The 24,531-nt window shown below is 43.8% G+C and overlaps 1 protein-coding gene and 1 long non-coding RNA gene across 8 annotated transcripts in view, besides 7 other annotated features; one reads left to right on the top strand and one right to left on the bottom strand.

Moving 5' to 3' along the window:
- The window catches only part of ADTRP (androgen dependent TFPI regulating protein), a 65,281-nt gene extending 42,715 nt beyond the window's left edge, over nucleotides 1-22,566 (top strand). For 2 of the 7 annotated variants that reach the window (XM_011514956.2, XM_047419420.1), the window contains exons 4-7: nucleotides 406-521; nucleotides 12,589-12,740; nucleotides 18,675-18,780; nucleotides 21,577-22,566. In XM_011514956.2, the coding sequence (XP_011513258.1) occupies nucleotides 406-521; nucleotides 12,589-12,740; nucleotides 18,675-18,780; nucleotides 21,577-21,580 (378 nt within the window). In that variant the 3' untranslated portion in view covers nucleotides 21,581-22,566. Of the gene's footprint in view, nucleotides 1-405; nucleotides 522-655; nucleotides 1,618-2,177; nucleotides 4,856-6,345; nucleotides 7,763-12,588; nucleotides 12,741-18,674; nucleotides 18,781-21,576 lie in introns of those variants that run through there. The other 5 variants (NM_032744.4, NM_001143948.2, XM_047419418.1 and 2 more) reach the window with 4 other exon arrangements.
- Nucleotides 3,332-3,421: an enhancer, noted in NCBI's record as "active region_23993". NCBI's record gives its function as "activates an Ori minimal core promoter by ATAC-STARR-seq in GM12878 lymphoblastoid cells {active_cell/tissue: GM12878}" and the evidence as "EXISTENCE:reporter gene assay evidence [ECO:0000049][PMID:35858748]".
- Nucleotides 3,702-4,001: an enhancer, noted in NCBI's record as "active region_23992". NCBI's record gives its function as "activates an Ori minimal core promoter by ATAC-STARR-seq in GM12878 lymphoblastoid cells {active_cell/tissue: GM12878}" and the evidence as "EXISTENCE:reporter gene assay evidence [ECO:0000049][PMID:35858748]".
- On the bottom strand, nucleotides 4,842-8,924 carry LOC124901258 (uncharacterized). Its single transcript, XR_007059452.1, has 2 exons — nucleotides 8,675-8,924; nucleotides 4,842-6,031 (listed from the first exon to the last, which is right to left on the bottom strand). It is a non-coding gene; the product is annotated as an uncharacterized LOC124901258 (long non-coding RNA).
- Nucleotides 6,386-6,555: an enhancer, noted in NCBI's record as "experimental_88259 CRE fragment used in MPRA reporter constructs". NCBI's record gives its function as "activates a minimal promoter by MPRAs in K562 erythroleukemia cells, with activity observed for the non-introgressed 6:11729852 or rs2294427 variant allele {active_cell/tissue: K562}" and the evidence as "EXISTENCE:reporter gene assay evidence [ECO:0000049][PMID:34662402]".
- Nucleotide 6,470: a transcriptional cis regulatory region, noted in NCBI's record as "Neanderthal adaptively introgressed variant 6:11729852 (GRCh37/hg19 assembly coordinates) or rs2294427 in the experimental_88259 CRE". NCBI's record gives its function as "modulates activity of the experimental_88259 enhancer by MPRAs in K562 erythroleukemia cells {active_cell/tissue: K562}" and the evidence as "EXISTENCE:reporter gene assay evidence [ECO:0000049][PMID:34662402]".
- Nucleotides 12,676-13,875: an enhancer, noted in NCBI's record as "BRD4-independent group 4 enhancer chr6:11722447-11723646 (GRCh37/hg19 assembly coordinates)". NCBI's record gives its function as "activates an origin of replication core promoter dependent on BRD2, P300/CBP, MED14 and CDK7 cofactors, and independent of BRD4, by STARR-seq in HCT116 cells {active_cell/tissue: HCT116}" and the evidence as "EXISTENCE:reporter gene assay evidence [ECO:0000049][PMID:35650434]".
- Nucleotides 21,564-21,713: an enhancer, noted in NCBI's record as "active region_23991". NCBI's record gives its function as "activates an Ori minimal core promoter by ATAC-STARR-seq in GM12878 lymphoblastoid cells {active_cell/tissue: GM12878}" and the evidence as "EXISTENCE:reporter gene assay evidence [ECO:0000049][PMID:35858748]".
- Nucleotides 24,400-24,449: an enhancer, noted in NCBI's record as "active region_23990". NCBI's record gives its function as "activates an Ori minimal core promoter by ATAC-STARR-seq in GM12878 lymphoblastoid cells {active_cell/tissue: GM12878}" and the evidence as "EXISTENCE:reporter gene assay evidence [ECO:0000049][PMID:35858748]".

Raw genomic sequence — 24,531 nt, 5'->3', positions numbered from 1 at the left:
CAGGAGGCTGAGGCAGGAGAATTGCTTGAACCCGGGAGGCAGAGGCTGCAGTGAGCCAAGATCGTGGCACTGCACTCCAGCCTGGGTGAGTGACAGAGCAAGACTGCATCTCCACCCCCCACCCCCGCCAAAAAAAAGTAGGGAGAGGGGAGCAGTGGGCAATAAGCAGGACCAGAGAGAGGGTGAGACACATTGCAAAGTCCTTGGTAGCCAGACAGAGGAGTTTGGACTAATGTGGTAGGTAAGAGGGAGCCACGGTAGGTCCTTGGGCATCTAGGGAGCATGACCTGGAAAGCTTCATCTAGCAGTGTGTAAGAGGTAGACTGGAAGGGGAACAGAGAATTATGGGCACTGTAGGCACCCTGGACACCCTGCCATTCTGATTTGCCATTTTCTCTCCTGCAGCACACTTTCATATTCCCCATCACATTGGCTGAAGTCGTCCTCAGGCCTCACTCCTATCCATCAAAGAAGACAGGACTCACCTTGCTGGCTGCTGCCAGCATTGCTTACATCAGCCGGTAAGAATTACATGGAGAAAGTCAACTTAGGCTTGTCGTTCAAGACCCTGAGGGAAGTTCCAGAAATGTGTACTGTTCTGTCAGAATCCCTTTATCTTGGTTTAATAAGGATTTAATCATGTTTACATTTCCAGGTAAGAAGCATTCTTATTGTTTGATTTTAATGCTCATGGAAACCTCCCAAGCACAGAAACATGCAGGTGTGCACACACATACACAGCAAGTCACAACTTCCCCTCTCTCTCTCGTGAAGAATTAATCATTGCAAAGCCACTCATCTTGCTTTCCCAAGAAAATGTTGCTCCTTGGTTCTATCTTCAATGAACATGCTTGAATGGCTGAGGGATCTGAGGCATCTAACTACATTCTACCTGAAAAGTCATTTAGTGGGCAGAGCATGCTAGGTTTGTCCACTCCTGTTGCCTGTTTCATTATGGGCTTATTTGCATCAGCAGCTGGCATCAGAGCTCCTAGAAGGCATTTGGGCAATTGCATGGGAGATGATTTCTGTAGCTGGCCTAGATTTCGTCATTCAACCACCTGGCAATACTCATTTTCAGAAACGCTGCCCAATAGTCTATAATCAAGGGAACGTGCTTGGCCTTTCACCCAGTGAGTGGGAAACTTTTCTTCCATTCTATAACCTTCTCATCTAGCACCATGCTTTTGTTCCTTCTGAAAGAAAGAGGCTTGCTGAACACAAGACCTGCAGATTGGAAGCTAATCAGTGTTCCTTCTCTAGACTCACACAAGCTATTCATGTGTGACAATCTGGACAACCCTCCGATCCCTATATGCGGGGAAGTTTAGTTCAGTTCAGTGCTCTGTCAGGGATGGAAGCGCAGAGAGAGAGAGAGAGAGTGCATTCCAAAGAACATGGGCTCTAGCAGTGCCTGTTTTATGGACTCGACCAGCCTCTGTCTTAGAGCAAATAAACTTGGTGCCCAGACCTCATCTGCTGTTTTCTCCCTAGCCCTTCCTTCCCTTTTGTGGTGTCTACCCCTCCCACCTTTCTGTGCCCCTCTTTCCCTGAGTACCCAAATCTTTCTTCTCCCATCTTAAAGAAAGCACTTGCTCAATAAATCTACCCCCAGACTCCAGTGCTCTATATTGTTCTTCAGCCTCTGAAGCCTTTACATTTTAACAAAGGGAATTTCAGAGAACGAGGCTTAAGCTTGGGTCCTACTGATAGTTGATGTCTGGAGCACTCTGTTGAAAAGGATTCTGAGGCATTACCAAGAAAAAGTTGTGTGATTATTTGGCAATGACTTTCAATAGCATGACAATGGACAGTGGTAAGATATATGCTATGTGTTTGCCATATCTGGCTTAATACAAAGGAATATATCCCTAAAGACAGAGTATCTGGGACCTGGATTGGGGTAAGAGTATAGACACATAAAGATTTTGTTGTTGTTGTTCTTGCATGTGTTGAAGAGAAGCAAAGTGGAATCTAGCTGATTATACACATGAATTTGTATGCTGTATTTTTTTTGGTGGTCTTTAACTTACTCTTTTATTGCCAAGTGTAAATCTGGTAGTTCATATATATGTTATTACCTTTTACTTACTAATGTCTTCTACCTAAGGACTTGTAAGTTGATTTTCAGTTCACATATCTGACCCTTGTTTTTCTTTTCCTTTTTGGGGATGAAGAAGATGAAAAGCACCTAAGGCCACTGCTGTTATTGGGGAAAATTGTAGTGGCTATAAAAATGAGTAGTAGAGGCCAGGAGGTTGGTTTGTCAGTACCTGGGCGGGTGTCCCCATGATGCAGGTAATTAGGATGTTGGAGAAAGAAATGCCACAGGATGGGAGCCAGGTACAAGTGCATCGTTATCCATTCAGTGGTTCACCAGCGCCAGGCACTGTGCTAAAATATGGAGGATACAGTGAAGTTCAGGAAACCTGCTACCTTTAGAGGCTGTCCGGGAAAGAGGAGCATAACAGACAGTGGGAGACAGGGTGATAGGACTGTAATAGGCATAAGCCCAGGATGCTATGGGCACACAGAGAGATGTGCAGGACTGGCTTCTTAAAGGGAAGCACTGTCTAAGCTGAGGCCCAAGGAATGAATAAGAATAGGTCAAAAGAGACATGGAAAAGACCTTCAGGCAGAAAAAACAGCATCTGCAAAGGGCTGGAGGAGCTGAGGGTATGGCTGAATTGGAGGACAGGGTAAAGCCAGGTCGTAAATCCACATTAGTGCGTTTGGACTTTTAAACCAAGTGCTTTTCTGTAGAAAAGTGTTATAATCAGAGGAATGAAATGATGTGGTTTATGTAAGAAAGCTGATTAGAAAGATGATTCTGGCTGAAGTGTGGACATTAGACTGAAGAGGAACAAGACAGGTAGACCAGTTGGTGGCATTGCTGGTAACTCAGGGGAGTTGATGTTAGCCAACTGATGATAACATCAGTCAATCCACAAATAAAATCAGAGAGTGTGAACAATGGGAGGTGACTTAGAGATGACTTAGCATTGGAAAACTAAATCTCCAGTAGGGTAGATGACATGCCCATGGTCATATGGCAGAGGTGGGGTAGAGATGCAAAGCTGGTACTTGAGCCAACTAAAACTGAGGTCTCCTCTCTCCAAATCCAGTTGTCTTTCCACTGTGTTTACATGGCCAGGTATTTGTTCAATTCCCAGTGTGTGCAAAACCATTCAGCTAAATGCTGGATGGATGGGCATGCACAAAGCTTGACCTAGCTCTGCACTTTGAAATCTTTCACGTGTTGTTCCCAGCTCTATGTGCTTGGATTAGACATTAAAGTACTGGTAATGAAGGGAGTGGAGGGAAGGGATGGAGACCTGTCACCAGCAGGAACGTGACTGGGTGAGCCCCAGTGCCCAGTGGGGAGCTGAGGTGGTTTGGGATTTCGTCCTTCATGAAAAATGCTAAGTTGGTATTTGGTCCACTAAGCCCCATTTTTGCTAGAACAAATCAAATATAGACACTTAAAGGAGGGTGTTTGATGTGATCCTGTTGATGGAAGCATCTCTATTTCTGCTCACGCCCTGGTTAGAGGAGCTCAGACTCTTTGGTGCCTGCCAACCCCACCCTTACGCAGTTTCCAGGGCCCCTGGCTCCTCACAGCCACAGATGGCCATGAAGTTCTACAAACTGCAGACACCCATGGAGACGTTTTAGGGAAGTGGCTATGGGCCCACTGTCAGATGTGCCAGTTTGGACAGTCAAATGGGGAAATGGCATAACACGAATGAGGTAAAGAGCATGGGCTCGGGCCAGAGGGAGCGTGAGAAACGAACATGAGTCAGGAAAACGGCACTGAAGCTGAGCTGGAGAAGCATTTCACCGCCGAAACCATGTTCAAATGACCTAAAAATAGTTCCTGAGACCGTGGGGACCGCCTTACATGTGGTGGTTGCTTTTAGTTATTTTTCAGATTGCAAAATTGAAGAGCTCTCCCCTAAGTGGGAAAATAAAGCTTTGCAAAATAGTAATGACTGCAAAGCTTTCATTTCCTTTGGAAAGCATTAGTCACCTTTAAATATGGTAGCTCACTTATTTCTCCCTTCTCTCCTACCCCAAAACACCTCACCTAGTTCTCCCTGAGGCAGTGGTGAGGAGCAAAAAAATAGAAATGTTCCTTCTGCTGGTTTTTATTCTTTCTTTTATTGAATAAATATTTTCCCTAACACATGGTTGGTCCTGCCCAGAAAAGCAATGTTATATCAGGCCAAGCTTCAGCCTGCAGGGGGTTTATCCTTAATAAGTGGAGATGACCCATGCATACAAATTATAAGTGCAGAAGATGGAAAGTGGTAAAACCTCATAAAAAAAACACAAGGAGCCACAGAAAAGGAAGAGTTTGCATCCAGCTGAGCGGTGTGGGAAGGGCACTGTGGAAGGCATGCATTGGATCTGAGCCCTGAAGGACCGGCAGGATTGGAGCTAGAAAAAATGAGAGAAGGTAAACAAAAGGAGCACAGTCCCAAGGCCAGGAGAGTGCAGAAAGCGTGAGAGCAAGGGTCAGTAATTCTCTTTGCTGGACCTGTTTGTGAAAGAGACTAATGAGAAATATCCCTGGAACTACCCACTCATGAAGGCTTGCAGATGGCAGACTAGAGGATGTTGGACATAGTATAGAAAATGGGAGCATTTGTTGTTGCTGTTGTTTGTTTGTTTGTTTGGAGTGGAAGCAAGGGTGAGCAGTATTTGTAACTTGGCCAGCAAATTATGCTTTAAAATGTCATTCTTGACAATAGTGCTTCAAATAAGTTGGAGTGACAAGAGATGGGAAACAAAATAAAATATAAACCAATATAAAAATAAAAACTAGCCAGCACATTATGTACTTTGATCACAATGTCTTAGTTTTTATGTATGGTTATTTCACAGTTCCAGTGATATCCCCAAGCACCCTTCTGCCTTGGAGGTCTTGGTCCAGTTTTCCAAGGAGTTCCAATAATCTGCTGAGTGCTCACACATGCCCCTGTCGTGCACTGCACAACCCATGCTGCACACTGTTCTGAGCATTGTTCTTACACACAGATAGCAAAACTGTAATCCCCACTGGGTCCAACATCCCCACCTGGCACAGTGTTAAGGGTTAGCACACCATGCCCACTGCTGATGCCAACAGTGTCATTTACCCATCAGCCCCCTGTGTTGGTAGAATTAACAATGTTACTCGCCACAGCAACCACCCCAGCTGGCCTGGAGTGCATCATCACACTGCTCTTGGTAGACCAGAAACCTACTGATGCTGCAGGTGTCCCTGCTAGTGTGTAAAGTATTGCATGCCCCGTACAAACACTGCACAGATATGCAGCTGTCACCCAGCCTTGGGGCAGATGTTTGTAAAGTCCCTTCCCCAAAGTAGTTGCTATGAGGCAAGAGAGAGAATTACTTTCTTTTATACTGTGCTCTCCAGGGTAAGATCCCTCAGCAAAGCTTCCTGGGTTCCCAGAAGTAACAGTTCTTTAAATTCATGCCTCATTTACAAATACATGTACACATCTTACCCTGAGAATACATTAAAAACTGCCAAGGGGTGGACTAAGCTGAGTTCCAGGACCAGCCACCTTGCCATTTCCAGAATCAGCAATTCTCTTCTTCTCTTTCTGGTTTTTATTCATTTTTCTATTGAATAAATATTTTCCCTAACACATGGTTGGTCCTGCTCAGAACCAACCATGTTGTGAACTCCCTACCAGAGCCACTGTTACCGTTTCCAAAATATGACCTTCAACTGAGATCATCCAGGTCAACCATAGCTTTATAACCTCAACTCAGCAGGGATTGGAATCTCAGCACCATTTTCCACAGAAGAAATCCTTACCCTACCTGTAAATTCATATATGAAAATTAATTAAAAAGATGCCACACAACACATCCTTGTTGTCAACATGCGGGGTCCAGCCCAGCCAGGATCCAAACTGAAGAGGGATGGAGGTGGAGGACTAGGAGAGGAGAGGGTATCTCATCTCCTGCTCTTCTCATCTTTCCTGTTCAAACCTTAGTTCTTATTCAACCAAAATGCCTGTAACAGAAATCAGAAATAATAACGGCATGAAGAGAGTAAAACTGTAGAATCAGAAATGAGAGACATGCCTGAGACACATTGTTGAAACAACAGAATAGGTTTTATGGATTGATTGACATGTACCACACAAATGAAAAGGAAAAATTAGGATAATTCTAAAAATTTTAAGTTAGTAGACAAGAAAAATGGTGATTCCATTGATAGATGAAAATGAATTGTGAAAGTAATCGTCTTGGGTATAAGTAAAACAGTCAGTTTAATATCCCATATCTAGGTCTCATTTCAAAAATACTCTGGTTTAATTGGTTCAGGATATGCCCTCAGCATTGGAATTTTTAAGGCCCTCAAGTCAATTCTAATTTTGAGACAAGATTGAGAATCACCTGCCTGGAGGAATTTCCATTCAGAAATTCAGACCCTGCAGTCTCAAGAAAGATGGGGCTGAGGAGATGCAGCTAGTTGAACCCTCGTGGAGTGACAAGATTGCTGGAAAGAGAGAGAGGAGAGAGGGAAGATAAGTAAGAAGCAAACACCAGGGAAAGGCCCTCCTCTCAGGGACAGGAGGGGGAAGGAGCAGCAAAGGTAGCAAGGAATTACCAGGTAGTAGAAGGGCAGGAAGTTAGAAAACCATGGGCCCTGAAGGCAGAGAGGCTTCAAACTGGAAGGGGGTGTCTCAGGGAGGGGTTGGGCAACAGCTCTAAATGCCGTGATGAGGTTGCCACCCCAATGACTCTCATCACTGCCGACACCTCAACATCTAGGTAAACTATTTGACTAACACTCTAGCCTTGCAGTTTCTCCTGACTCTTTCTGTTTGATTTATTCTCCTGGGCTGGAAAGACGTGACCTGAGGGTTAACACCGAAAGAAAGAATTATATGCCCAAAGCCCACAAAACTCCGTTATCTGTTTATCTGCCACCCACAGACGTCGGTATTTCTCTACTGATAAGACGCAGAAGTTATGAATTTCTTGACAGCCATTATAATGCTCTAAGATTTAGGATAAGGAGACCCTAAAAGATTAATTTTTGGCTGCCATTTGGTGCCCACCCAGTCCAACTCACAGAGGTTCACGTAGCAGATGGCTCAAGAAAGATGTGAAATTGCTCTTTGAACTGAGGGGCAACGTCATTGGCCTCTTCAAAGTATTAGTAAAGTGAGATTAACCAAAACTTGAAAGGCCACTGGGTACATTTCCAAATTTCCAGAGCCTGTGGTGGTCTTGGTGAGTCAGGCGACTGAGAGCCGTCCATAGCAGTGTCCTACAGAGCCACCCAACACAGCCATTCATTTCAAAATTCAAAGAACCTGCTGCATTTTGGGCACTTGGCAAATAAATGTGCCTGACAGAGACAGTCCCTGCCCCTGCAGAGCTTTCAAGCTAGTGAGAAAAACAATCAAATAAGTAACAAAGGTAAGTTCCAGGGTGGAGGAAGCACCTGGCGTAAGCATTTACCCGAATCAGGGTTGGGGGAGAGAGCTTCAGGAAATCTTTTCTAGAGAAATAGACTTTTAAGCTGAGATTTGAAGCGTGAGTAAGATTCAGCCAGACACAGGGCAAAGAGAAGTAGGTTCCAGGAAACAAAAAGGTCAGAGGTGTACCCAGTGAAGACAACAGCAGGTGTGAAAGCCAAGAAACTGCAGCGCTCAGTTCACTCAAGAAACAAAGGGGTTCAATATGGATGGACTGCAGATCTCCAGATGGAAGCGGGGCATGGCCAGGCCAGGTAAGCAGCTGGGATCCTGGGATTCACTGCAGGCAGGGGAGGGCTGTGGACAGAGCTCGCTTTTAGGAAGATTACCGGATTACTGATGGCTTGCAATAGGGGAAGTGGGTTGAAAGGAGCAAGAAAGCCTAGTTGGTAGACAATGACAGAAACCCAAATGGAATGAAGGAGGCTGAAGGAAGATTGTGAAATGTGTGCGCTGAAGAAACATTTAGAAGGAAGTTTAGTATAGATATGATTTCATGGGATCAAACTTGGGGGCAAGATTGAATGGAGGGCTGACATTGGCTGAAATAGAAGACATGTTGAATGCAAAGTTCCCTCCCTCCCTCCCTCCCTCCCTCCCTACCTACCTCCCTCCCTCCCTGCCTCCCTTCCTTCCTTCTTTCCGTCCTTCCTTCCTTCCTTCCTTCTTCTTTCCCCTCTCTCTTCCCACCTTCCCCTCATATTCAGGCAAGCCATAAAGAAGTGATGTCAACTAACAGTGTGACTCTGTCCTCATTCACGCCTCTCTGCTGAGTACCCTTGGTAAATTACTATCATCTTGCCTCATACTCTGTATCTCTGTTAATTTTCCTACTGTCAGGTACCACACCTATAACTTTCCTTACACTTTATCTGTGAAAGTACACAATTCATTAGCTTACCTCGGGAACTTTCTTTTACAAGCCTTATGCTGAAGGAAACAAACATGAAGTAAACAGAAATTTTCCAAGCCTCTGGGGGGATGTCCTTATTTATAGACTATCTTACATAAATGTGCATGGGAATTCAGAAGCCCTAATTTCAACTATATAAAGTAAACAAAGTGAACTAAGTGATGCAACTTTTTGGAGTACATTCAGAGCTCCTCACTGACTCCAAACTCCTAGCCCTATCTACTTGAAACTGTTTATTTTCTATGCCATATACCTTCTTTGTCCTGCCATGAGAAGTAGCCATGCAGGTAAGAATCACTGTGGGCATCCTGTAATGCATCCATGGAACGCATATCTTAAAGAACTCTAGGCTGGCCATGGTGGCTCATGCTTGTAATCCCAGCACTTTGGGAGGCTGAGGTGGGCGGATCACAAGGTCAGGAGTTTGAGACCATCCTGACCAACATGGTGAAACCCTGTCTTTACAAAAAATACAAAAATTAGCTGGGCATGGTGGCGCACGCCTGTAAACCCAGCTACTCGGGAGGGTGAGGCAGGAGAATCGCTGAACCCAGGAAGCGGAGCTTGCAGTGAGCCGAGATTGCACCACTGCACTCCAGCCTGAGCAACAGAGTGAGACTCCATCTAAAAAAAGAAAAAGAATTCTAATATTAGTAACAATGATGATAATTATTGTTTGTTCTAGTCACCTCATTCTCAATCTGGGAGGAACATCCAGACAAGTTTGGGAAAGCAGAGTGATACCAGCAGGGCCCAGGCGAGGAACTAAATGCCAACCCTACATTTATATGACCCTAAAATTGACACCTCCTTAGATACATTTAAATTGTGGTAAAAGGTACACAATATTTACAACTTTAACGATTTTAAGTGATTTACCATTTTGATCATTTTTAAGCTCTGTAGCATTTTGTACATTTACCTTGTTGTGCATCCATCACCACCATCCATCTCCAGAACTTTTACATCTTCCCAAACTGAAAGTCTACCCGTTAAACAATAACTCCCTGGCTCAGTCCATTTTGTGTTGCTATAAAAGGATATCAGAGATTGAAAAGAGGTTTATTTAGTTCATATTCTGCAGGCTGAGAAGTTCAAGGGCATGGCCCTGGCTGCCGACAAGGGCCTTACTGCTGCCTCACAATGTGGTGGAGAAGATCAAAGGGGAAATGGACACGTGTGAAAAGGGCAAAACCTGAGGGGCACCCTAGATTTATAACAACCCATTCTCATAGAAAAAATCCATTTCTAGAGCTTACTATCACAAGAACAGCATCAAACCATTCTTAGGAGATCCAACCCCATGACCCGAACACCTCCCACTAGGCTCCCCCTCCCAACACCAACACACGCAGGACCAAATTTCAACATGAGTTTTGGTACGAACAAACAAACCATATTGAAACCATAGATAGCATTCCCCGCTGCCTCCTCCCGCAACCACATGGCAAGCACCATTCTACTTTCTCCCTCTATGAATCTGACATTCTAGGTTTCTCATATAAATGGAATTATACAGTATTTGTCCTTTTACGACTGGTTTATTTCACTTACCATGTCTTCAAAGTTGATCTGTGTGGTAGCATGTGTCAGAATGTTCTTCCTTCTTAATGCCTATGTATAAGCCACATTTTATTTATCCATTCATCTATCAGTGGGCACTTGGGGAGATTCCACCTTCAGGCTATTGTGAATAATGCTGCTATAAACATGGGTGTACAAATATCTCTTCAGATCCCTGTTTTCAATTCCTTTTTTTTTTTTTTTTGAGATAGAGTCTCATTCTCTCGCCCAGGCTGGAGTGCAGTGGCGCGATCTCCAATCACTGCAAGCTCTGCCTCCCAGGTTCATGCCATTCTCCTGCCCTCAGCCTCCCAAGTAGCTGGGACTACAGGCACCTGCCACCACGCCTGGCTAATTTTTTGTATATTTAGTAGAGATGGGGTTTCACCATGTTAGCCATGTTTTCAGTTCTTTTGGGTGTGTACCCAGAAGTGGAATTGCTGGATCAGATGGTAATTCTATTTTAATTTTGGGGAGAACCACCATATAGTTTTCCAAGGCAGATGTACCATCTTCCATTCCTACCAACAATGAACAAGGGTTCCAATTTCTCTATGTCCTTACTAACACTTGTTATCTTGTCTTTTTAAAAAAAATATAGTATCCATCCTAATGAGTGTAAGACAATATCTCACTGTCATTTTGATTTGCATTTCTTCTAGTTATTAGTGATGTTGAACATCCTTTCATGCATTTGTTGGCCTTTTATGTATCTTCTCTGTAAAAGGTCTATTCAAGTCCTTTGTCCATTTTTAATTGAGTTATTTGGGTTTTTTGTTATTGTTGAGTTACAGGAATATTTTACATATTTTGGATATTAACCCCTTATTAGAGATATGATTAGAAATATTGTTTCCCATTCCATGGATTGCCTTTTCACACTGTTTATTGTGTCCTTTGTTGCAGAGATGATCCCTTAAGTTTTACACCCTAGGGCCTCTCTTGCTTCACCCTACTCCCGGTCCTGAATATAGCCCTTGACTCTTCCACAAACCATTTAACAAACTTCAAGTATTTGAAATGACAGAGATCACCCTTGGGTTTCTGAAAGTTTAAGCACAGAATTTCATTCTTCCATCTGAATTCCTTTGACAACGTGGGATATTCAAATTTAAATATTGTTTTTGAAGCATAACCTGGCCTATCCTAATTGCTACAAGAGATCAGCAGCTTCAAAGAAGGCTTTCTGAGAGCACTCCCATTGTGCCATCCCTCAGTGGAGATGGAAGCTTTTGAACTCTTGTCAAATATTACAATGTGCCAAGCACTGTTCTGTGTCTTTTACATGTGTTAACTCCCGTAATCTTTACAACAGCCTTAGAAGGTGTATGCTGTTTGGATCTTCACTTTACACATTGAGGAGATGGGGACAGAAAGGTTGATGAAATTGCTGGAGGTAACATAGCTACTAGGTGGCAGAGCTGGGGTTTGAATCACAGAAGCCCAGTTCCAGATTCTGTGCTCCTAACCAATGATGAACTGTAGCTGATGCATCAGCTTCCCCACATTTAATTTTTTAAAGTTATTTCAGACTTTGGCACCTTCCAGTGCAGTTGGTTTCCAGCAAACTGCATTTTTAGGCTTCACTTAGACATCATGGCTCTTCTCCTAGCATTTCTTTTCCTTCTCTCGGCTTCCAGAAATGACTTACAGCCTATCCTCACATAAGCAAGATCTGAGCCTCCCTGCAAATCCATGCATTACTGCCTAACACTCTATTTATGGCTATATGCATGAGTGAAAATCAGGGCCGACAGTTAAATCCTAGGCATATTGTGTTAGGGCAATAACGCTCTATCTCTGCTCCCTCATCCCCGCAGACTTGGAGAGCTAAGGGAAAGCTGCACCTGATTCTTAGATCCAAAAAAGCAAACCCCACTTCTCTGGCTTAGAGCCAGCAAAATCAATGCCATAATAGCAGGTTCAATGTCTCAGCAGGCCATACCTCTCAGGGAAAGGGATCATTCATGTTCCCACATACTCTCTTTAGTTCTTTAGCTAACGATGGTTCTATGTTTGTTTGTTTGTTTGTTTGTTTGTTTTTGAGACAAAGTTTCACTCTTGTTGCCCAGGCTAGAGTGCAGTGGCGTGATCTTGGATCACTGCAACCTCTGCCTCCCAGGTTCAAGCGATTCTTCTTCCTCCGCCTCCCTAGTAGCTGGGATTACAGGCCTGAGCCACCATGCCCAGTTAATTTTTTGTATTTTTAGTGGAGATGGGGTTTCATCATGTTGGCCAGGCTGCTCTCGAACTCCTGACCTCAGGTGATCCACCCCCCTCAGCCTCCCAAAGTGCTGGGATTACAGGCATGAGCCACAGTGCCTGGCCCTATGTTCTCTTATATTTTTTCACCAATGTTGAATTTAAGTGGATTAGGTAAAACAGCCCAGCCCAGCCCATCAAACAGCATGTCTTATTGAATCAAGTTGATTTACCCAGAAAAGCCTCACTTCTTTAGGTTTGTGGGAATACTACAGCTGTTGACAAACGTCCCTGATGGGTTCTCTTCCCCTGCCTGGGTACCAGTACCTCATTAATCCTGATGAGAAAATGGCTTGTTTTTCTCCTCCTGCTATAACCACCACGACTTCTTATTTCCTGCAGCATCCTATGGCTCTACTTTGAGACGGGTACCTGGGTGTATCCTGTGTTTGCCAAACTCAGCCTCTTGGGTCTAGCAGCTTTCTTCTCTCTCAGCTACGTCTTCATCGCCAGCATCTACCTACTTGGAGAGAAGCTCAACCACTGGAAATGGGGTCAGTGTATTTCTTTCTTAGCTACAGATGCGCTTCTTCCGTGTCTGCCTCTCCCCTTCACCTGGAAACAGAAAGAAAAACTAGCCGCAAACAGAAGCAATGATGCTTACTGTCTTTGTCCAAAGTACTCAGACAGGTCCTGCCAAGAGGTCCTGCCAAGGCAAGAGGACAGCGTTGGGGGTGGGGCACTCTTTTAAAGGACCCCATCAAAGGATCTCCCCTCCTCCCCCAAACAATGTGTCATTTAACTTTAGAGCTAAAAATAATCTTCTTTAGAAAGCCCAGGACCTAGAGAACAAGGTATTACCATCCCTAGCATGAATAAATAAAATCAGGGGTCTCCCCCTAACCCAAGTGAGGGCTCCAGGGACACAAGCTTTGAAAATATCAAGGTTTCATTTTGAGGGAAGTGAGTCCAGATAGCCCTCTCAGCTCCTCCCACCTCCTCCCAACTCAGCAGTACCTCATTAGGCTGCTCCTCAGCCTTCCATAAGACATTTACCAGATGAAATCACATCCTAGACTTGAGATTGAAATCCTCATTCAGACAGAGTCTTCAGCAATGAGAATATGTCAGTAAGTTAAGCTTTCTCGTTATAGGTGGGTACAATCCTGTTGCTTCTTCCTAAGAAAAAAAAATCATCTTAACTTAGTTAATTTTAAAATGGAAGATTTCATTCTCCTTCCTGCTTCCTCTCTCCCCACCCCACCCCAGAATATTTTTTTATTGTTGGAAAAGTAACTACCAGAAAGTCAGGCTGTAAAACACCCATGACTTGCTTCCCTACCCCAGGAGAAGCGCAGGAACTCTACCCTGATTCTGTATATAAGGATGGCAAAGAGTCACACCCAGTCCCCCACATCACTCGCCCACATGCCATTCTGTTCTATCAAAATAGAGATGGCAGAAGTGCCATCTTCCGCCCAATCTATGAACTGGTGTGAAAACATAAGCCCGTGTATGCAAAAAAAACCTGACAGTTTCAGAAGGTTCAGTACCAGAGTGTGCGTTTCTGAGAGGAAGCTGAGACCCTGGAGAAATAAGCACGCAACTTGGATGTATCACATGTTTTCTACTCTTGGAGAATTTGACTGGTTTAAGAAACTCTCAAGGGCAAAATTCTCTTTGAAAGCAAACACTTAAAAAAATGGAATACTAAAAATTACTTCCCAATCAGGATTCCAAATCACAGAAAATTATCGCAAAAAAAAAAATGTGTTGACATTTCAGATGTGTTGACATATAATTCTAACTAGTTTTGGCTCCTTGAAGTTCTGGGTAAAGATTTCTGATGCCTCCCCAAATCTCTCTCTCTCTATATATATTTAAAGAAGCTTTAAGATATAGGAAGTACAGAGAAAAACTTGATTACTTAGAGCTTAGAGAACAATAACTTTTAAAATCAATTGTATTGAGTTCAATAATGTATTGAGTTAATTTTTAAATTGTTACTCTATGGTGAATTTTAAACATCCATTGAATTAAAAAACAAAATTATCATCATATTTATTATTATTGAAATTACTATTCTCAATACAACGTTCTTAACAAGCCTCATTGTTTAAGTACTGCATCCAATTTTTAACTATAATTAGGTCTCAATAAACAGATAAGCTGGCATCATATGGACCCTCAACTACCTCATGTACATGCAAGTTTTCAAGTAGAAAGAGACGATTGTAAATGACTGTACTTACCTCTCGAGGTCTTTCTAGATTTTTAACTTTTTAAAGAAGAGAAAGGGTAAAAGGTCCTATTTAACATCAGAATAAGATCAGAAATGTATTAAATCTTGAACAGATCTTTATTAATTATAAATAATTTAATACGAATTAAAGAAAAATTAGATTTGTTAAAGTTGCAATGCAGTGAACACTTTTACATTGCTGAAAGCTAAATAACCTATGTGAACACATTTCCCCATGTCCTATTCTACTGAAAACACTTTCTAAGGCTTCCCCCAATTGACTGAAGAAAGTCCACACCCTTGGAATGACACACAAGGGCCTCTGTGACCCAGTCCCTGCTTTGGCTTTTGCTCTTCTATATGTGTGCCCCAGTGGCACCAAACTGCTGGTTTTCCCTCCACGTTGATGTTGTTTCTTACGTCCACGGGATTCTGTGTCTCCTCCAGTCTTTGCCTGGTTCATACTCATGCATTTCAACACTCGCCTCTTCCAGGAAGCCTTCCCTGGTCAGCCCAGGTTGGACTTCATGCCCTTCCCAGTGCTTCCCCCTTTACCTCCCAGTCACCAGACTTACCATTTTATCATGACTGCGGTTTTACTACTGCTTTAGGGATTTGTTTTTCCACTAGACCTCGGGTGTCTTACGAATTAGGGGTATGTCTTGTTCATCTCAAGATCCACTATTTCCATTAGCTTTCTCGTTGCCTCAATCAGTGCAGACAATAGAATATCCAAGGGCCTTTTTTCCTAGGTGTAAAGTACAACTTTTTGCAAAGGTGTTCTGGAGACAGCAGATAAGGAGTGACTCTAATGGCTGTAGAGTATTGGGCAGGGAGTTTAAGGAGTATAGGAGGGTGATGACAAGGCGTACCAGTTAGAGAGTTGTTGAAGACATGCATGTTAGGGCAGAAAGTATTAAACAGGGGAAAGAGCACTGGAATAGGAATCAAGAAAGCCACGGTAGATCGAGACCATCCTGGCTAACACAGTGAAACCCCGTCTCTACTAAAAATACAAAAAATTAGCCGGGTGTGGTGGCGGGCGCCTGTAGTCCCAGCTACGCGGGAGGCTGAGGCAGGAGAATGGCATGAAACCAGGAGGCGGAGCTTGCAGTGAGCCGAGATCGCGCCACTGCACTCCAGCCTGGGTGACTGAGCAAGACTCCATCTCAAAAAAAAAGAAAAGGGTATATCCCTCACCTGGCCGCAAACCAACCATGTATTCTGTGGCAATGCACTTCAATTCCTCAGTGATCAGACAGCCTCTAAGTAGAGTGACCACCAAGCCCAGGTGGCCTGAGATGATCCCTGTCTATTCCTGCTGTGCCAGTATTCATAAGGTTTAATATTGTCTAGGCTTGGGCACTCAGTTGACTGGTTCCCCTACTAGTGAGCCTTTCTCCAGATCTTCAGTTCTGGAAACTTATAGATAGCCACGTATTCTGTCCAAAGCCAGAGCTAAGCCTATGTTTTCCCTCCTTCCACAGCCTGAGCCCCCTTTGATGACAGGAGAAATTCAAATGAATGCTTTAGGGAGGCAGTCGGGGGCTGTGGTTAGAAGAAAAGTTCTGGTGCCAAACTGCCTCAGTCTCTATCTTGGCCCTGCCACTTGTACCTGTGACACTGAGTGAGACACTGAAGGTCTCTGTGCCCCAGCTTTCTCTTGTCCTAGTGGAGATAATGCTAGTGGCCTCCTCCTGGGCTCACGGAGAACCTCAGATGACTTGCTGAGGATCTAGCGCCTACAGCAGGACCTGGCATACAGTTAGTCACTGCTGCTGGTCATCTTATTCTCCCTCATTCTCCCCTTTGAGTTGATGTATAAATTACCAGTTTCCCAGCTGCAAGTGATTAAAGGTAACAGCTACCCGATAGCAGACGGACAGAGATGATGCACGTCCTCAGGTACTTACAGCAAATAGGAGGTCAGGCTATTGGAGGCTAGAATCTGTTGGAATCTCTGCTTCTGAAATCCTGAGACACAACTGGAATCTCTGCTTCCAGTGGCCCAATTTGAAGTCACCAGCCAAGCACCAAGCGGTCAAGAACATCAGGCGAAGTATCAGTCAAGACCCATTCAATGTGACAGTAGCTCTCTAGCAGTAGTTCTCCACCTTGGCTTTTTACATCACAGAAACACTAGGGAAGTTTAAAAAATAATAATTCCCAGGCCTGCCTTAGACCAATTAGATCCATATCTCTAGAGATGGTGACTCGACATGGGTATTTTTTAAAGCTTCCCAGTTATTTTAACTTGCAATCGGGATCCGGAACCGCTGTTACAGAGCAACGCTTCTCAAACCTGTATAGGCCTCTGATGCTCATCAAAATGAGGATCTTGGGGAACCCGGAGATCTTGTTAAAGTGTGGATTCTGATTTAGTGGATCTGGGGTGCAGTTTGAGATTCTGCCCTTCTAACGCATACTCCAGACATACTGATGCTGCTGGTCTGAGGACAAGGCTCTATTACATCTCAGGACCCTGGACTCCTCCCAATGTGGATAATTCTGTCTACGGCATCCTTGTGCAGTGTGGTGCTCTCCTGAGTGGGCTGCTGGACTGAGAAGGGTGTTGGTGGTGATGGTCACAATAGCTGAACATCTACTCACTTTCTCCCTCCTCCTGTGCCACATCAGTGGGTGAATATGGACAAGAGAGCAAGAAGGACAGCAATAAGAAACCATACTGGGAATCACATGTTAAATTGGAAAGTGTATGATGAGGTCCTCCCAGGGCACTCAGTTGCAGGGAACTGGCTTTGAGCGTCAAGGAGGCAAGTGTTGTCATGGCCCACAGGAAGGTCCTTCAAGAATGCACTGAGGCTCAAAAAGCTCACAAGAGGTTCCTCAGGGCCACCTGGCCTGACCTGTCACCATCTCACTCCCTGCCCTGGGCTAGCCTTTCTGTGTCATGAGGCAGAGGGTTGGGCAAGCACAGAGTCAGTTACTGGGACCAGTCATCCCCCAAGAAAGATTCAATTTCTACTTTTTGGGAGGAGTTAGATGGAATGTTAACTTCAAACCATGATAGAAGCAGATGGGGGAAGCTGTCTCTGGCAAGACATTGAGAGCTTGGCTCACCATGACCATGACTGAACACCCAGGCATGCCCAGGGCAGGTTCTCTTCCACATTGACTGGGGGCAAGAGGCAATCAGGACATCCTATCAAAGGCTCCCTTCTCTGCCCCTTATGTGCTTAATTTTCTTTTTTTTCTTTGATGATTGATAGCACACAAGGATGCTGACACCAGCACACAAGCTCCTCAGGAAGAGAAAATCATCCCACAAGAGATATGGGGCACAGAAAGGGGCTAAACACCTCCAGGCCCAAATGGCAGGGCCTCTGCTATGTGGGGGTGGTTGGAGAGACAGTCAGCTTATCCAGGGCCTGTGACCCCTCTCCCTATGCCCCTTGATGGACACATGCCAGGAGTCAGGCTGTCCTTTGTCAGGGCCCCTAAGACCATAGGTCCTTCTCATCCTAAGGACAGACTGTAAGCTGAAAATTCCAGCCTGGCCAAGTGGCGCTGGGAGTGTGTCCTGGACAGAATGACATGGAAACTTTCTTTTAATATTATTTGCCATAAACCAGGTTTTTTAAAAGGCAGATTTTCTTGATGAAAGCTGCCTAGAGGCCATCTAATCCACCTCCTTGTTTTATTCATGAAGGAATTAGATGAGGTTTGTCTTATTAACTCTGCTTATTCCATAGCAAAAGAATTTTATCATGCGATGACTCCACAGGTACTTCTAAAGCATGGTCCCACTGGGGCAGCATTTAGTCAATGGCAAAAATTTATCTCCATTTTGCCTTTCTTGTCCTAACTTCATCTCCCTAAACTCAAAAAGAGCCCGCTGTGGATTACCCTCCCTGCCTCTTCCTCAGCCTCTTTCCCACAGGAGTTTCTCCAGCCAGCCCTCAGTTCCCTGTCCTCCCTGGACTTCTGCAGTGTGAACACAGGACTATCAGTGCTCAGATCTCATTTCTCTAACACCTGCTATCCCCCCAACCATCAATTTTCTTGCCCTTTTCTGAGTCAGCCCACTGAAACTAGGCAAATGTTCTTCAAATTTTCAATGCCTGGCATTCATTTTTGTGGTTGTAGATACATAGGTGTAAATCTTTGAGAATACTATGTTTTTATTTATCCTGATTTCTAACTATTGGAATAATAAGGCATATAATTATATATGGTATCTATGGTGATGTTGATTGAAACAATAATTTCTTGGCCATGCCTGCAGTTTCTGTTCAGATCTTGCAAAGATGGAGGCTAGAATCTGTTGGAATCTGCTTCCAGTGGCCCGATTGGAAGTCACCAGCCAAGCACCAACTGGTCAAGAATATCAGGTGAAATATCAGGGCTATAAAAATATTTCTAGCCCTTGCTACTATCTGACAGCAGTTAAAGGAATAAAACAAGTCGGGGTGAATCTAACTTCCTATCTGCCAACTAGGATACTTTCTACTGGGAAAAATGCTTCTCAATCAAGAAAATATTTATAATAAACATAATTTTCCAATTACAACTTAAAATCCATTTTGTGAATTTGGTTTGGGTAAGATATATGATCTATTATTAAGTCAACAGTTTCCTTATTTCCAGCTATGCGTTATAGAAACATGGTCAGAAGGCTGGGTGCGGTGGCTCACACCTGTAATCCCAGCACTTTGGGAGGCCGAGGCGGGTGGATCACTTGAGCTCAGGAGTTCAAGAGAAGCCTGGCCTACATGGTGAAACCCCATCTCTACTAAAAATACAAAAAAAAAAAAAAAAAGCTACGTGTGGTGGCGCACACCTGTAGTCCCAGCTACTCGGGAGGCTGAGAGGTGGGAGAAACACTTGAATCTGGGAGGCAGAGGTTGCAGTGAGCCAAGATCACACCACTGCCTTCCAGCCTGGGTGACAGAGGAAGACCCTGTCTCAAAAAAAAAAAAAGAAAAAGAAAAAGAAAAAAAGCATGGTCAGAGATAAATTTTGAAGACTTAAAGAAGCCTACAAACTGCTTAGCTCTGTGAGAATTCAAGACTAAGACCCGCTTGCCATTCCCAGCTGCTAGAAGCAAAAAGAAACATGATTTTTGCAACGTTCACGCCACATGAGTCCCTACAGAATAAAATGACTTTGGGAGCACCACAGAGACCCATTTGGGAACAGTGCCTTCTCTAGCATGTGGATGGGTATGTGGGCATTTCTGAGTGTTCCTCCTAGCTACTTGGTTTTGGACAGAGGACTCTAATCCAATGGAGGGAACCACCTGCTGTCCTCCCCCAGCAGAGCTTCATACCACCATGTCTGCTCCTGGGTGGCTTTTCTCCAAACCTTCGTGTTCTGTTGCATTTCTTAAATGGAGAAGGGAGTCTTCAGTCCTCAACACCTGGGGTGGAAGGACTGAGGTTATTATTACAGTTAGGCTTGAGGGCTTGGGGATTGGTAAACAACATGGATAAAAGAAAGTTTTAGGAATCCTCAGAGTGACTGCGGGGTAGAAATTTGAGAAGTTTATATTGACCAAGTTTATATTGTCCCTCTTGTATGTGAGCTGGTTATTTAATTGAAAAAGAATTCATTAAAGGCCCAGAGTATACTCTACAGAAAAAGGAGGTACTGTGCTTGTACTTATAGACCTAATGTAGAGAAGCCCTAACTAGGGAGGAGAGAATTCACATCAAAAATGGAAAATAAGGCCAAGGGTGGTGGCTCTTGCCTGTAATCCTAGCACTTTGGGAGGCTGAGATGGGAGGATCCCTTGTGGTGAGGCCAGGAGTTCAAGATCATCCTGAGCAACATAGTGAGACCCTGTATCTAATAAAAAAGCAAAAAAAAAAAAAAAAAAAAAAAAAAAAAAAAAGCTGGGCATGGTGGTGTGCACCTCTAGTGCCAACTAGTCAGGAGACTGAGGTTGGAGGACTTCAGCCCAGGAGCTCAAGGCCGCAGTGAGCTGAGATTGTGCCACCGTATTCCAGCCTGGGCAAAGACCTTGTCTCAAAAAAAAAAAAAAAAAAAAAAGGGAAAAACAGAAGAGAAAGAAGTAGACACACCAATGAAAACAACGTGAAATCCATAAAGCTTGATAAACAATAAGCCTCGGCTGAAGTGACTGGGGTAGTCTAGATTGATGAGGAGCAGACGAAGAAGACAGAGTTTTGATCTTGAAAATTTTGCATGAGATGAATACAAGGATAGCCATGAGGACTGCATGATCAAGAGGTGGCCATCCTAGGAAATCAGTGTAATTAAGGGGCCACAAACAGGACTTCAAGTCACCAGTCATGATAGCCTCTAAGAAGTGGAGTTCCAGCAGAATGGAATGAGTATAAGATATCTAGTGTTTACTGTTAAGGATAGAATTGATGAAGGTGGCAGGGTTTGAAGGGTGAATCATGGAATTAGGAGCATGGATTTGCTGCAGGAATACCAAGCCAGAACTACCAGGGCTGTAAGTTCTGGAATGGAGGAGAAGTTTTTAAAGTAGCATTGACAGTATTTGGCAACAAGCACAAAGGATAATGAGCTAATGAAATTTCACAAATTGCAGAGCTTACACAAAGATTTATGATCATTAAATATGGAGTACCAACTTGTTGGCTGAATAGAAGTCATTCTACAAATCTAATGCTATAATTTCAGTAGAATAATGCCCCTCTAATGAGCTTACTCAAACCTAATCCATATGCCAGTACTTTTCCACCAGGCTGATGAATTCATTTGCTAAGAGGTCACAGAATGACCCCAATTAGTTGAACATCCACCCTTCTATTTCCTCTCTAATTTGATGTGGTCTCTTCATCTCCATCTGCAAAGTCTCAAAGTTTGCTGATGGATTGTGTGTAGCCTGCAGACACTCACTCAGAGTCACAGCAATATGCTTCCTCTTAGCTATGCAGAGTACCTGAAGGCAAACAGCATCGTGGGTGCCTGGCTAACTGTGAACCCAGCACTGAGGGAGGACGGCAGAGTTGTTCTCTGCCCCTGTCATCGTGGCAGCTGTTTTTTCATAACTCCTTAAACTGCATCTTGTCACCTTGGGAAAAGTGTGTTCAACTTTCCACTGCCCCAAGTCAGAGTGAATCTCTACCCACAACAAAAATACCCATTAGGGAAAGCCTGAAGCCTGAGGTCTGTCTCTGTTCTTGTTTGTACAGGTGACATGAGGCAGCCACGGAAGAAGAGGAAGTAATTGCACACCATTTTCCAAGAACCAAGAAAGAAGAAAACACAAGAGATTTTTCTCATCTTTTTTTTTTTTTTCTGGTGGAGGGAGGTGGTGGAGGAACATAGCAAAGTAGGAGGGACAGAGAGTGATACTTAAATTTAATAAGAGGTTCGTGAAGGTAGCTTAACTTGAGAACTCTTGGTTTTTTGAAAGGTTGACTGCACATGCCAAAAACAACTCCTGCTATCTCAGAATTAATTATCTTTGACCTTCGTGGAGGATGGTCTCTGGTTAAAATCTGGCCAAAGAAACTCACATAAACTTGGTGTTAGAGAACATCTAGAGAGAGAGAGAGGAACTTAGAGTCATTTAAACTCTTCAGTTTACAGAGAAGGATGCTGAGGACCTAGATGAGAAGTTACCTGCAAAAGGCAAAAGGGTTACTTAGTGTCAGAACCAAGGCAATGACTTCTCTCTCCCAGATCTCCTAGCTACTGGTCCTGGGCCATTTTTTTTTTTTTAAATAATCCCAACTTTCTTTAAAAGACAAGCATTTCAGTAAGCTAGTTATTTTCATGGGTTGCTCATCCATTTTTTTCAGTGATCTAAAAATGTAGGGAGATGGCTACTACTGAAGTTGTCTGTCTACTTGGGATAATAGCAAATTAATTGAAGACAATGGGAAAGTAAGTTATAAAAAATACTGGGAAATCTGTTTCTCTTCTGAGCAAGCATTCAGGGCAGGTATAAACATCAAACATAGTGACATTGTCAAAACCTCTTCCATTTGAACATTGATTAATTCATCAAATAAATGGTATAGTAATAAATTTTGCTTGCAGAAGAATCTGGATGGGAAGTGATAGAATTATAAGGGCTGTTGAGATTGCTTTGCTACAAAGCACTTTTCTGAATTAGTGTGTGGTTTAACAAAGCTGATTTCCAGATGCTTAACAAGGATTCATGATCCCTGCTGTGATTTTCCTAGTGTTATTTTCCTGGCCTTTATTTGTGGGCACATTTTTTAAAGAACACAAATGGCAAATGGCTATTGGTGGGTAGACATATTTGAGTCTACTAGTATGTCACTAGGCTCATATGGGTTGGGGTGTGGACACTGAAGGAAATTGGACTTGGACTTCCCAACCTAACATTATGTAGGAGAAATCTGGTAAAAATGAGCAAGAGTGGTCTTGAAGGGTTACAGAAGAGGACAGAATATCTCAGGTGGGAAGGCAGCCTAAGGGAAGACCAGGGCAGGCACCAAGAAACCTGCTTAATTCCCACTTCTTTTTCTACTGTTCTGTTAATATGGGCCTCAAGTCTTTTCCAGTTGGAGCTGGGAATACCACCTCTTTCCCCACATCTACTGCTGCCTCTTCACTGCTCCAAGCACCTGGTCTCAGCAGGAGCTCAGAAACAGTTGCCACAGTGGAAATTCCCCAAACGTGAAGCCCTCGGGGGATCACCCAAATGTTCCACACCCCAGAGGTGACTCGGGCTGCGTAACTCTCAGTCACAGTAAGCTCTTGGTGGGGATGAGCCTGCAAATTTCTATTTGTGGCTTTACTGGCCCTAGGACCAAATTAAACCTTGATTGCAGCATGCCTGGCCATTGTGCAATATCTCTTCCAACACTAGAAATGTCTCGGAACAATTTCCCATTGAGCACATGCCTAAGCACACAAGGGCATGCTCGGTGCTGCAGTAGCTTAAGAAAAGATACACAACAAAACAATAACACACTGATTAAACATTTGCTAAAAGGTATATGGTATTTGCAGATTGCATAGCACTATGTTAGGCCCTTAATAGAAAATGACAACTATAGCAACCACATGATGATACCAGCAATATTTGTGTAGTGTCAAGTAATTCATCACCACTCCCACTTATTCTAGCCCACGGAAACTTCGTAAGTAGGAGATGAGTTACGTTCTCATTTTACAAATGAGCAAACTGAGTTTCTGAGGGTGGTGTGCTGGGAAAGGTTTAACAACCAGCTCTCTGGGGAAAAGATGTCAGGCTCTGATTGATAATGTGTGCTCATTTCCATGGTGTAAACACTCTCCCCATGGCCTTTTTCAAGCTGGCAGCACGTTGCTGAATGTACAGTTGGGAAGAGATGTGGACAACCACTTAGTCCTCGAGAGCCTGTTGTGCAAACTGGCTCCAGCACACCTCTGCGTTCAGAGCAGGGAAATGACAAGTCCAAGGTCACATGGATAGTTGACTCCTGAGCCCACTTTCCTTCCTCTTTCTTACAGAGCAAAGCAGTACCGGGTCATCCAAAAACTTTATTTAAAAAACAAAACAGAAATGTGTCCACATCTTGCAGAGCTGGACAAAAGAAGGTGGTCAAGAGATCCCAAATTGGTGGAAACTGTCCCCGTTACAGGAGGAGGAAGGACGCTGCCACCACTACCCCAGGGACTGGCCTATACTCATGCTTCTGTTCCAGTGTTGCTGTCTCACATTTGAAACCAATTTTGAATTTGGGTAGAAGATTCGTCTTGTTGCCTAAACAATGCCTTAACCCCATTCTCTCCCCAGAAGGGTCCTACATTTCTTAAGCTATTTTCAGCTCCTCCACACCTACTCACTTGCAATACTTGTCATAACAGGAAGCCAGTTTCATATACTGTAATCCCCAAACACATTGCACCCACACGTGGGGAGCGTGAGGGGCTGAGCGAGGAGCGAGGAGGCCAGGCCTTCCAAAAACTGGAGGGGCTGAGCACTGAGCCGCTCCCAAGGTGGGGCGTCTCCACTCCCAAGCCCAGGATTCAGAAGCCAGAATCCACATCCAGACATTCTTGTTTTCCTTTCTCATGCAGTTGCTGGTGACTTTTTTTTTTTTAATAAAGCATTTGAGTAGGCAGCAAAGCCAGTCAGAACTGTTTATTTATAGCTGTGGATATTCAATGCTGTATAAATTAGAAAT

Source organism: Homo sapiens, chromosome 6 (assembly GCF_000001405.40).
Source record: "Homo sapiens chromosome 6, GRCh38.p14 Primary Assembly".
Taxonomy (NCBI): Eukaryota; Metazoa; Chordata; class Mammalia; order Primates; family Hominidae; genus Homo; species Homo sapiens.
Note: the sequence above shows the minus strand (reverse complement) of the source record. Positions and strands in the feature narration are given on the sequence as shown.